The 12,787-nt window shown below is 45.8% G+C and overlaps 1 long non-coding RNA gene across 1 annotated transcript in view; it reads left to right on the top strand.

The window, feature by feature from the left end:
* PLUT (PDX1 associated lncRNA, upregulator of transcription) overlaps positions 1–12,787 on the top strand; it is a 98,200-nt gene that overhangs the window by 60,234 nt on the left and 25,179 nt on the right. The window contains exon 2 of the long non-coding RNA NR_047484.2: positions 8,522–9,050. This is a non-coding gene — a long non-coding RNA (PDX1 associated lncRNA, upregulator of transcription). The remainder of the gene's footprint in view (positions 1–8,521; positions 9,051–12,787) is intronic.

Below are 12,787 nucleotides of genomic sequence, written 5' to 3'. Positions count from 1 at the left end.
CACCGTCTTGGCCAGGCTGGTCTTGAACTCCTGATCTCGTGATCCACCCACCTTGGCCTCCCAAAGTGCTGGGATTACAGGCGTGAGCCACCGCGCCTAGCCAAGGACAGGCATTTTTGTTTTCCTGCCCAAATGTTGCTTTTCCCAAGACCACCGTAGCCTGCCACACCCCCATCCTGTGCCTGTAAAAACCCTGAGCGGCAGACACACAGGCAGCTGGTCTTCCAAAGAAGCACATCAGCGGAGGAGCACACGGGTGGCTGGACGTCGACAGGGGAGGAGGAGAGGACCGTCGGTAAGCTGAGCACGCTGGCAGGCCACCGACCCGCAGAAGTCCGTAGAGTTTGGCTGAGGCAGTCGGAGGAGAGTCCAGGCTGCCGAGTGGCCCGACTCCAGGGAAAACCTTCCCACTCCATCCCCTTCTGGCTCCCCCATCTGCTGAGAGCTATCTCCACTCAATAACACCTTGCACTCATTCTCCAAGCCCACGTGTGATCCGATTCTTCCCGTACACCAGGGCAAGAACCTGGGATACAGAAAGCCCTCTGTCCTTGTGACGAGGTAGAGAGTCTGACTGAGCTGGTTAACACAAGCTGCCTATAGAGCACCCGGTAGCACACGCCCACTGGGGCTTCAGGAGCTGTAAACATCCACCCCTAGACACTGCCGTGGGGTCGGAGTCCCACAGCCTGCCCGTCTATGCTCCCCTGGAGGTTTGAGCAGCGGGGCACTGAAGAAGCGAGCCACTCCCCCATCGCACGCCGTGCGAGGGGGACAAGGGAATTTTTGCCATGGCAGCGAGACAAAGGTAGGGAGACGCGGGTGGGAGGCAAGAGCCCATCTTCCTAAGGGCCACCTGCGCCATGTCCCTACACCCTGCTCTGCAGGGATCAGGCTGCACAGAGCTGCAGGAGCAGTACCTGCTGACGCTGGCTCACTCTCTGCTCTATTTTTCTACTTTCCTCTTAGTGGAGTTCGCTGGTCTCTGGACCAAGGCACAAGGCCTCTCTGTGTACTCAAATGGTGGCTTAGATCTGATGATGAAATAGTTGGAGACACTTTGTTATTATTATTATTACCATAGTTTTAGCCTAAAGGTAGGGGTTAAGGGGTGGAAAGAGGCTTATAGTTTTCATTAGATATTTCCAACATATTTAGTCAATGTTCCTCTTGTGTAGATGTGGCTTTTGATAGAGATTAGTGGTGAATAAGTTTTTATTTTGGTAGTAGTTAAAGCTTTTATGAGACCATCGACTTTCCTCCCTCTGTTCCTTTATAAAGGGTAATATCAAAATGAATAACCAATAGCTCCTTTCCTCAAAGGAGCTGTGGATTCAGGAGAGGAAACAAGAGGGAATGCAGATGACTGGAAGGTGGGGTTCCCAGGAGGGAGTCAGCAGCCTCAAAGTTCCAATCTAGAACATGGGTCGATGGTTATAAGGGCCTGTCTCTTCCAAACGAAAGATGCAGGTGCATGTCTGACTGTAGAAGAGGGTTGCTCTATCAAGGCTGTCTTGGAAAATCTGGGACAAGTGGAGACCGTCGTTATGGTACCACTAGAAACCCATTTCTAGCCAGTTGATGGAGGTGGGCAGTCTCTTTTGTATGTGTAAAGCGCTGTGGGTGGCAGGGGCTGGGAACCTGCCCCCCACACCACTTTACAGCCACAAAAGAGGGTGAGTGAGGCAGCTCTGGAGCGAGGCTGCCTGGCTTTAAATCCTGACTCAGACACTTAGCTGTGTGATCTGGTGTAAGTTACTTAACATCTCTGGGCCTTAGTTTTCTCTTTTATAAAAAACGGTCATGAGGGTTTGTGAAGATTAAATGAGATAACACTGAGTAAGCACTTAAAATGTAATGTTTCATCATTATTAATATAGTCTTTATTTTCTCTGATGATTGGCCATGTACATAAATGTGAGCCAGACATACATTAAGTGGAAGCTAATTTTCACTCATGTTGACAAAAAATAAAAGAAGCAAAAAATAAAGCAAAGTTCCCCCAGAGTCAAGAAGTTAGGAAAAACTGGGGACAAGATAAGATGTTCAAGTGGCCATTAAACTTACAAAAAGATGCTTAACATCAATAACCTTTAGAGAAACACAAATCAAAACCAGGATGTTATACCAGTACACACCTATCAGAATGGCACCAGGAGGAAGACAGACCATACTGAGTGCCGATGAGATGGGATATGCATTGATAGAACCACTTTGAAAACCCTTTGGCAATGCCCTCTGAGGCTAAACATGCACACCCTATGACTCAGCACTTCACTCTTGGGTCCAGTTCATCAAAAGACACACACTAGATTGTCCTTAGCTGTACCATTTGTGATAGACCCAATCTGGAAACTACCCAAATATCCAAAAACAGCTGAAGGGAAAAATAAATCCTGTTTTATTCAGACAAGTGGATACTCTCCTCATTGTGGATGGATGACTAACTCAGCTACCTGCAAAAATGTGGATGAACCTCACAAAGACGGTGTAGAGCAAAGGAAGGCAGAGACAAACTTATAAAGTTCAAAAACAGGCAAAGGTGTTTTATATTATTCCAAAGTAGGATCGCGGCTATATTTGGTGGGGAAAGGGTGTGGTGGTTAAAACAGAGCCTGGGACGGCTTCTGGGGCGTGTTCTGCTTCTCCATCTGGTCGCTGGTTACCTGGGTATGGACGTCTGTCTGCTGGTGAGTGGTGCCCTTCTCAGCGTATATGCTAGGCTTGAATAAAACATTGAAACCACGTGTGCCCTGTTATCCCCAGGCCTGAAACAGTTCCCTCACACACAGTTTCATCCTGGGCTCTGGAAACAACAGCCATTCCTTCCCTGCTCTGCAAAGAGTGCATCTTAGGCTCAGCCCAGGGAATGAGGCCTCTTGGGGCACTGGTTTCTGTGGCTGGCGATTGGAATGATGGCCTCATTCACCATGGAATCCTTAATGGCCAGCCAGAAGCTGGGCACAGAGTGATGCTCACTGAATCACTGTGGAAGGAAAGGAGGGAGGGAGGGAAAGGGTGTTGAGTTGCAGCGGGGGAGTGGAACGCAGATTCTCCTGCTCGCACTGGCCTTGGGGTTTGGTCCAGCCAAAGCAGCGGTCTCTGGGCATCTACATGACGCACATCAGTCAGTGGGGGTTGCCATGCACAGGGCTGTCGTGTAGGCAAATGTGCAGTGTGTCTGTTTGTCCTGTATGAGACCTAAAATGTCATTCGTTTAACTCATTCACGAAGCCTCAGTTCAATCCTCACTTTGTGCCAAAAAGGCACAACCATTGGCCTTGAGAGGTGTGCAAAGTTGTGGCGGGGGGCTTCATTTTCCTTGAGGGGTCTGCAGGGTGGTGGGGTGCTTCTCTGCCCTTGAGGAGTCTGCAGGGGAGTGGTGGACTTCATTTTCCTTGGGGGGTCTGCAGTGGTGCTGGAGGGGCACAGCAAGGTTGCATTCCCGCCTACGTGACCACCTGCCAGCGCACGCCCTTCTCCTCCCGCTGGCTGGAAGGGAGGCCCTGCTGAGGAAAGGTCACTCTGCCGGCAGAGGCAGGTGTGGTGATGGGAGGGGGCAGATGAAAGGAGGGTGTGGACGGAGGGAGGTCCAGGGTCCTTCCTAAGGTGAGTACGTGAAGAAATATGCAGGACTTAATTGGAAAGAAAATGAAGGAGGGAAAAGCCACCTATGGTTGTTTTCGCTGATGCACAGAACAGGCGATTGCCATGGGGAAAGCCAGCCTTTAATTCATCATTTCCTTCAGCTGCCACCTCAGCCCCCTACCTCCCAGCTTTTCCCTTGTATCTGTGTTTTTTCTTATATGCGCCTGGTTGCACTCTTTTTTTCTTTACAGGCGTGTACACCCTCTTGTGTCCTAGGGAAACTGGTTCGGTAGCCTCGGATATCAAGAGCATCAGGCTAGTCTGACAAGGCAGAAGAAATGGTGATCCTATAGAGTGTGGCTTAAGGGACGCGGGAAAGTCCTTACCACAAACAGAGCAGGTCCGTGGTATGCCCGGAAAGGCTACCTGCCGTTCCTGACCTGCTCGGTTGTGTTAGAAATTGTTCTGTCCCTCCTGTTTTCTGTGTCAGTGCCCCTTTGGAAAGGATTGTGACTGGAGGTGAGAGTGACTATCAGAACTCTGCAGGTGGAGATGTGGACAGTGAGAACATCCCTCTGGGATCCCAAGACTTGGGAAAGTGTGTGTAACCCAGTGGTGGGAAGAGCAGAGGCTGAGACCCGGTGTTGCTTAGCTTGATACTTCAGGTGAATGTCACAGGCCATGGCAGTGGTCTCAAAGTGTGGTCGCTAGACCAGCAGCACCAGCATCACCTTGGAGCTTCTTGGAAATGCAAATTCCAGGCTCCAGCGCAGACCTGTGGAATCAGAACATCGTGGTGGGTTTAGTAATCCATGTTTGAACAAGCTCCCCAGGCAATTCAGGTACCTGTCAAAGTTTGAAAAGCTCTAAAGGAAGGGCCATTTTCTGAACCAACTCTCCTTCACCACCAATGTTCTCTCTCCTTGGAAGAGAGACCAAAGCAGTGGTGTTGGATTGAAGCTCATGAACTCAGGACGTTTCCTGGGGCTCTTTGCCACTGGCCCCATCTAAGGAAGCCCGGGTCAGCCTGTCACTGTAAGAGCCCAGGTTCTGAAAACACGCTGAATTTGGTTTGTCATCCTGGCTCTGCCACGTCCTGGATGTGGGAACCTGGACAAGTTACTTAACCTCTCTGGCCCTCAGTTTTTCCACCTGTAACATGGGGCTCAGAATAGAGCTGACCTCACCAGGGTGTCACAGAGGTCCTAGTCCCATACACATAGTGGGTGCTCAGTAGATGGATCTGTTATTTATCGTTCATGCAATTTCATCTAAAGTTGAAGAAATTACTAGATCTCAAGGAAATCGGCCTATAAGCCTGCCATGGTGGAAGGGGGTTGAGGGACCAAACAGCAGTGCTGACTGTGCGTCTTCCAGCTCCAAGACAGCAGGTGCTACTACTCCCGATGGCTCTGAACACTGTGGAAAGAAAAGCAAATATTAAACTATCTTATAAACAAGGCCAGGAGGTTTGAAGGCTAGTGAATTGCTTCTGCCCGTCTGCCAGGGATATGATGCAGCAGAAGGAACGGTGGGCACTCGGTCCCCCGGCCCCCTGTCTGGTGGGCCAGCAGCCCACACTTGTTCACTGAATGAAGAAACACACCTGGCTGGCAAGCGTACAAACAGAGCTTCCTCCCTCCCCCGATTCCCTACCCTCAGAATGATTTACGGTCATTCAGTTTCCATTAATAAAACTGACAGTATTCCAACTGATAAATATTGATATATGCGAAATTCATCAGCCGCAGGATAAAAGCCACTGGCCCCGTGGCGACATCTGGCCGCCTTGGGCAGACGTCATCCGCTCGCCCTTCACCCTATGGAACGCTGACTGCTCTTAGGTATAATAAAGTGTGTTTAAGGTCCACAGGATGATGACAATAGGGTTAAACTTAGCTGATTCCACAGCTGAGGGAGATCCCGCTAGAGACATTTTGGATCACACTTGTGAAGACGTCCTCTGCAGTGAGGTCCTTGCACAGCAGCATGGGATGGGAACAATAACAGGATAACAGATGACAGGCAGTCATTTGTAGACAGTCTGCAAAAGGGGTGGCTGAGATCTCTTCACAGAACACTGTCTGTGACGACAGTTCAGGGAGGGAACAGGGCATTGCCTTTTATCTGCAGATTTCAAAGTTCTTGACGTGAGTCAGTCTTTCCCAATACCTTGTAGAAGGCAAGAGTCCCCATTACTCCAGACAGGAAGCCTGAAGGGCACGTTGGGCAATGGCACCATGAGTCCCAGAGGGACTGACCAAGGCTAACCTGTCCCCAAGCGTGTGTCTTGGCTGCCCTGTGTCTGGGCCAGCCGCTGGCATGGGGCAGGGAGCACCAGGGAGGAAATAGGGCCTGGCAGCAACCAAGCACACAGTTCTCTGCACTCTGGTTCCCAAATTTGGGAACTGCACCTGAATCACTCATCAAGTATGTTAAAGATTAAGATTTCTGGTTCAACTGGTTTCTCTCTTCATAATTTTGGTTCAGTAGGTCTGGGTTAAAGTGGGGACTAGAATTTAACAAATTCCACAGGTGACCATGCTACACAACCAAATTTGGCTCTTAAGGGTCAACAAATAAGGGACTCTGGAAGGAAACGGGATTGAGGGGGCTGGGGCCTTTGCAGAACCTGAATCCCACCTGCCACCAGCACACATGGTCCCGGACAGCTCCACTCCACTCTGGCTGAGGATGGTCACAATTGTTCCTGCTTCCCTCAGCACAGTGGTTGGCAAGCTTTTTGGGGTCTTATGCTCCTTTGAGATGCTGATTTAAAAGAACCTCCCTGCAAAACATTCACATGCCTACACAATTTATTTATTTTTATTTTTAAATGTTATTTCAATAGTTTTTGAGGAACAGGTGGTTTTGGGTTACATGGATAAGTTCTTTAGTGGTGATCTCAGAGATGTTGGTGCACTTGTCACCTGAACAGTGTACACTGTACCCAATATGCAGTCTTTTATCCTCCCCACCTCCTCCCCCGAGTCCCCAAAGTCCATTATATTATTCTTATGCCTTTGTGTCCTCATAGCTTAGCTCCCACTTATAAGTGAGAACATACGATATTTGGTTTTCCATTCCTGGGTTACTTCACTTAGAATAATGGCCTCCAGCTCCATCCAAGTTGCTGCAAAGGCCTCTATTTCATTCCGTTTTATGGCTGAGTAGTATTCCATCGTGTATATACACCACATTTTCTTTATTCACTCATGGGCATTTAGGCTGATTCCATATTTTTGCAATTGCGAATTGTACTGCCATAAACGTGTGTGCAGGTGTCTTTTTCATATAATGACTTCTTTTCCTTTGGGTAGATACCCAGTAGTGGGATTGCTGAATCAAATGGTAGATCTACTTTGAGTTCTTTAAGGAATCTCCATACTATTTTCCATAGTGGTTGTGCTGGTTTACACTCTCACCAGCAGTGTAAAAGTGTTCCCTTTTCACCACATCAACACCAACATCTATTGTTTTTTGAATTTGAAATTATGGCCATTCTTGCAGGAGTAAGATGGTATCACATTGTGGTTTTGATTTGCATTTCCTTGATGATTACCGATGTTGAGCATTTTTTCATGTTTCTTGGCCATTTGTATATCTTCTTTTGAGAATTGCCTATTCATGTTGTTTGTCCACTTTTTGATGGGATTATTTGTTTTTTCTTGCTGATTTGTTTGAGTTCCTTGTAGACCCTGGATATTAGTCCTTTGTCAGATGCATAGTTTGCAAATATTTTCTCCCACTCTGTGGGTTGTCTGTTAACTCTGCTAATTATTTCCTTTGCTGTGCAGAAGCTTTTTAGCTTAATTAGGTCCTATTTATTTATTTTTGTTTTTGTTGCGTTTGCTTTTGGGTTCTTAGTCATAAATTCTTTGCTTAAGCCAATGTCTTCAGGATTTTTTCTGATATTATCTTCTATAACGTTTATGGTTTCAGGTCTTAGATTTAAGTCTTTGATCCATCTTGATTTGATTTTTGCATAAGGTGAGAAGTGAGGATCCAGTTTAATTTTCCTACATGTGGCTTGCAAGTTATCCCAGCACCATTTATTGAATACAGAGTTCTTTCCCCACTTTATGCTTTTGTATGCTTTGTCAAAGATCAGTTGGCTTGTAAGTATTTGGCTTTATTTCTGGGATCTCTATTCTGTTCCATTGGTCTATGTGCCTATTTTTATACCAGTACCATGCTGTTTTGGTAACTACAGTCTTATAGTATAGTTTGAAGTTGGGCAATGTGATGCCTCCAGATTTGTTCTTTTTGCTTAGGTGCCTACACAATTTAGGCTGAGACTTCAGAAGTGTTGTGGGAGGCAGACTGAGCAGTGGGGAAAGAGGTTCAAGAACTTAGCCAAAAATGAATGGAAACTGAAAAAAAATTTTTTTAAGTAGGTCTCTTTTCATCCTACTATCACTAGTGTTTCTCAAAGGCTGCATGGCCATTTCCAATTTTTGAGTTCCCTAGTATATTAAAGAACTAAGAAATGTGGGCCAGGTGCAGCGGCTCACACCTATAATCCCAGCATGTTGGGAGGCCAAGCTGGGAGGATCACTTAAACCTAGGAGTTCGAGATCATCCTGGGAAACATAGTGAGACCCCATCACTACAAAAAATAAAGAAAATTAGCCAGGTGTCATGGTATGTGCCTGTGATCCCAGCTACATGGGAGGTTGAGGTGAGAGGATCACCTGGACCCAGGAGGTTGAGGCTGCAGTAAGCCATGTTTGTGCCACTACACTCCAGCCTGGGTGACAGAGCAAGACCCTGTCTCAAAACAGATAAAAAAAAAAAAAGAAAGAAATTATATTGATAGGGTTTGGATATTTTTAATTGGCACTTGCCATCCTCTTCCATCTCCTTCTAGTATTACCTTTCTGCATCACGGGGCTGGAAAGTGAAAAACCTTACTTTCTATGCTTCCTTCCAGCTGGACCTTCCACAAGTGTTTGCACATGACCTGGAAGACAGTCAGAGGCAGAAGTCCCTGCAAATGCTCCTGGCTACTTCCTGCAGGCAGCTCATGCTGCTGCAGCAGAAGACTTTCCTATGTCTAGCTGCCAGTATTCTGGGTGCTGGGGGCATCCTGTTCCTAGGATCACAGCCATGGTGGTATGTTCTAGAACTCAGAAATTTACCAAATCACTGGATGGACCAGAGGAGTGAGCTCCAGGTTGGGTTTCCAGAAGGGACTCCCAGAACTCTTCCACCATACAGGCCTCTCAGGGAGCTGCTCCCTCTGCCATGGTCAGTGAGAGGGGGAAGCAGGAGCCGCCATTGGGGTTGTTGAGTTCGTGGCTGCAACCCAGGGATGAGGAAGCTGCTGCTACACACCCATGAAGCTGATGCCTGGACATAAATCCCTACTGATAAGTGTTTACGACATTTCCAGCGTGGTGCCGACACTGCATGGAAATGCTGCATGGAAAGTCCTTATACATCTATCTTTGTGCATTTATGTGAGTATATCTGCAGGTATTGAACTGCTGGGTCAAAGGGTATGTATACCTTGATAAATATTGCTAAGTTACTCTCCAAAATTTTTTTAGAGACACTATGTTGTCCAGCCTGAACAAGTGACCCTCCTGCCTCAGCCTCCCAAGTAGCTGGGGCTACAGGTGCAGGCCACCGTCAAAAGTGTTTTAATTCACACTACCACCAACACCTGACCTCACCTCTACTAACACAGAGTATAACCCAGGTATGGATTTTAAAATACCCACTAGATGGTAAAATAACAACTAGCCAGGTATGAGTACCGAAGACCAGAGACAACAGAAGCCCATCAGCAAGAGAGACACACACCCCACCCATCCAGCAGACACCTGTTGGATGAATGCTTATATGTTGAATATCAGCTGTAGCATAAGCAGTGTTTTTAATCTTTGGCAATATGAGAGGCTCATTGTTGTTTCTTTTATGTACATTTATGTTTCTTTGAGTATTAATGATGTTGAGAAACTTTGCTTGTGACACTTTTAAATCTCTCTTCTGAATCTTGAATTTTAAAAAGTTACACGAACTATTCTAGAGTTTAGTTTCAATGCAATGCTTTAAGAGATTACTATGGTTCAAGGCTTCTGCTGGGTTCTGGAGATACAACAATTAAATAGATTTCTCACTTACTCTTGAGTGTATGGCACTGCAGGAAAAGAGAGGCATACATACACACATACACACACACGGAAGTTCATTTCAAAGCAAGGAGCACCAGGATTTCCAGGAGGAATTGAAATCATTGAATACTTTTTTAATAATACATGGGGGAAAGTAGAATGAACAGAGTTATCAAAGAGGAAAGCCAATTTGTAAAGCCTATAACTTAAAAAATAGTGGAGAAAATTGTTCCCGGGCTGTACAGAAATGCCTTATTTATTCCAACTGATATGTTTTGGTGAGCACGATGTGCAGGGCAGTTAACTGTTGCTGTGTGATTTCTTCTTTTTCCATGATAAATTTAGTGCTAGAAAGTGTCCCTTATGAAGAGACTGAATAGACACAAGAAAGGCTCCTTCCTCCTCCCCACAATGGTGGTGTCAGTGAAGGACTGTTAAAATAGAGATTTAAATAAGATTAAGAGTCCTATACCATAGTACCCTAAATGTCCGGGATATAGTTGAAAATTACTCATCATACTAGGGACTGGGAAACTAAGATCCAATATTAACTTGAATGAGAAAACAAGATCAACAAACACCATTAGGTACATGACACAGATATTGGAATTACCTAACAAGGACTTTAAAACAGATATTATTTTTTAAAATATATCAATGGACAATTTTTTTTTTTTTTAAGGGAGACTTCTTGCTCTGTCACCCAGGCTGGAGTGCAATGGTGCAATCTCTGCTCACTGCATCCTCCGCCTTCCGGATTTAAGCGATTCTCCTGCCTCAGCCTCCGAGTAGCTGGGGTTACAGGCGCCCACCACCATGCCTGGCTAACTCTTTTGCATTTTTAGTAGAAACAGGGTTTCACCATGTTGGTCAAGCTGGTTTCGAACTCCTGATCTCCAGTGATCTACCCGCCTCCGCCTCCCAAAGTGCTAGGATTACAGGCGTGATCCACTGCGCCCGGCCCCTCAGTGGACAATTTTGATCAAACTTAAAATAAATAAAAGAACAGAAAGTCTTAGCAAAGAAATAGAAAGTATAAATAAGAACCAAATATAAGAAAGACATGTAAGAAAGACCTTTTATTAGGGGAAAACTTTTGGGGTAAGAAAAAAATCCTTCTGCTGGCTTCCTGTTTTTAAAAGTCTTTGCGGAACTATACAATCTCCTTAGCTAACCACAGCTTCATGAGGCTTACCTTCAGAAAACTTGCTCTGCTGAATCCAAATCCCTGCTGTCCTGGCATTCAAGCACTGAGACAGAGGCCGTGATGTGTGCATTAACAGTAGCCAGGCAGCTTGGAGGCCGATGCTAGGACTCATCATTTTGAGATGCAGAGCCAGTACACAGGGCCACCAGGGGTCAGACACTGGCTTGTCCATTGTGGCCACCTGCCCTGGACAAGGTAGGGCACTCAGGACTAGTGTGCTAAAGGGCCTTCATGCCCCCTTTCAGGCATAGTATTGTGGGAGGCCTCCTTCCTATGAATGATTGCTAATAATACAAAAGTCTTTCAATATCTTAACCATTGGAACAGCCATTCTGGTATGCCTTGGCTGAATATCAGACTTGCCTGAAAGAAAGGTTAAAGATTTTGGTCTTGATTCTAAGAGCAATGGGAGCCACTGAAAGGTAGTGAGCAGGGAAGTGACATGAGTAAATTTGCATTTCAGAGGTCACTGAGGCGGTGGGGAGGAGAAGGAGTGATCAGAATGGACATGGTCAACCATGAGGAGTCCTAGTCCAGGCAGGAGCAGATGGTTCAGACCATGGACCCTGGTGACTGTTTGGGATGCAGAGAATCAACAAAGTCAATGGTGTTGCATTGGAGGTGGTGGAAGGAGACGATGACCTCAGGGTTTCTGGCTTTCCCATTGCGGTTGATAGAGAGAAGTTAAATCAACTGAAAAAAGGAACAATGGAGGAGAACTGGGTTTGGTGGGGAGAAGATCATATGGACAATTTTGGAGATGTTGAGCTTAAAAGGACTTTGGACATTGAAGAGATGTTAAGTACACAGCAGTAGGTCTACTTATCATAGGTTTGGAGCTCAGAAGAGCATTCTGGGCTAGAGTTGTGAACTGATGAGATGTCAATAATCAAGTCAAAAATGAAGAGGTGGACAGGATGAGATCAAGTATGGAGATGGTGGAGTGAGAAGATGAGAGAGACTCCAGGCCTGAAGAACTCCAAAAGTCAGTGGCTGAGCAAAAACAGGGGCAGATATGGAACATTTTTCCTGTATTTCCTCTTAGGAATTGAAATTTTAAAACATTACAAATACCACAAACATAAAATCCAGAAATTAGCATAATATTTTCATTAATTATTTACCTTAAACACTTCTATAATACTTTTCCCAGTAATTCTGGCTGCATGATCTTATTTTTTTTCTTTTCTTTTCTTTTTTTTTTTTTTTGAGACGGAGTCTCACTCTGTTGCCCAGGCTGGAGTGCAGTGGCGCTATCTTGGCTCACTGCAAGCTCTGCCTCCTGGGTTCACACCTTTCTCCTGCCTCAGCCTCCTCCCAAGTAGCTGGGACTACAGGCGCCCGCCACCACGCCTGGCTACTTTTTTGTATTTTTAGTAGGGACGGGGTTTCACCGTGTTAGCCAGGATGGTCTCGATCTCCTGACCTCGTGATCCGCCTGCCTCGGCCTCCCCAAGTGCTGGGATTGGGTGCATGATCTTTATTTTGTCCAATTTATTGAGGCATAACTTATGTGCAATAAACTGCCTGTATTTAAAATAAGCAGTTTGATAAATGTTGGCAGATGTGAACATGAAATCACTGTCGCAATGAATATTCAGAATATTTCCATCAGTCCCAAAGCTTCCCTGCACTCCTGTGCAGTCTCTTTCTACCCTTGACCACGTATCTAGAGTTTTACACAAATGGAACCACACAGTGTGTACTTATTTTTGTCTGGCTTTTTTTCCCTCAGCATAATGATTTTGAGATGCATCCATATTATCATGCATGTCAATAAGTCACTCCTTTTTATTACTGATTAGTATTCCACTGTATGGAAACACCACATTTTGTTCAAGCACTCACTTGTTCATAGACATTTGGGTTGTTT

This window comes from Homo sapiens, chromosome 13 (assembly GCF_000001405.40).
Source record: "Homo sapiens chromosome 13, GRCh38.p14 Primary Assembly".
Classification (NCBI taxonomy): Eukaryota; Metazoa; Chordata; class Mammalia; order Primates; family Hominidae; genus Homo; species Homo sapiens.
This window is presented reverse-complemented; position numbering and strand designations above follow the sequence as displayed.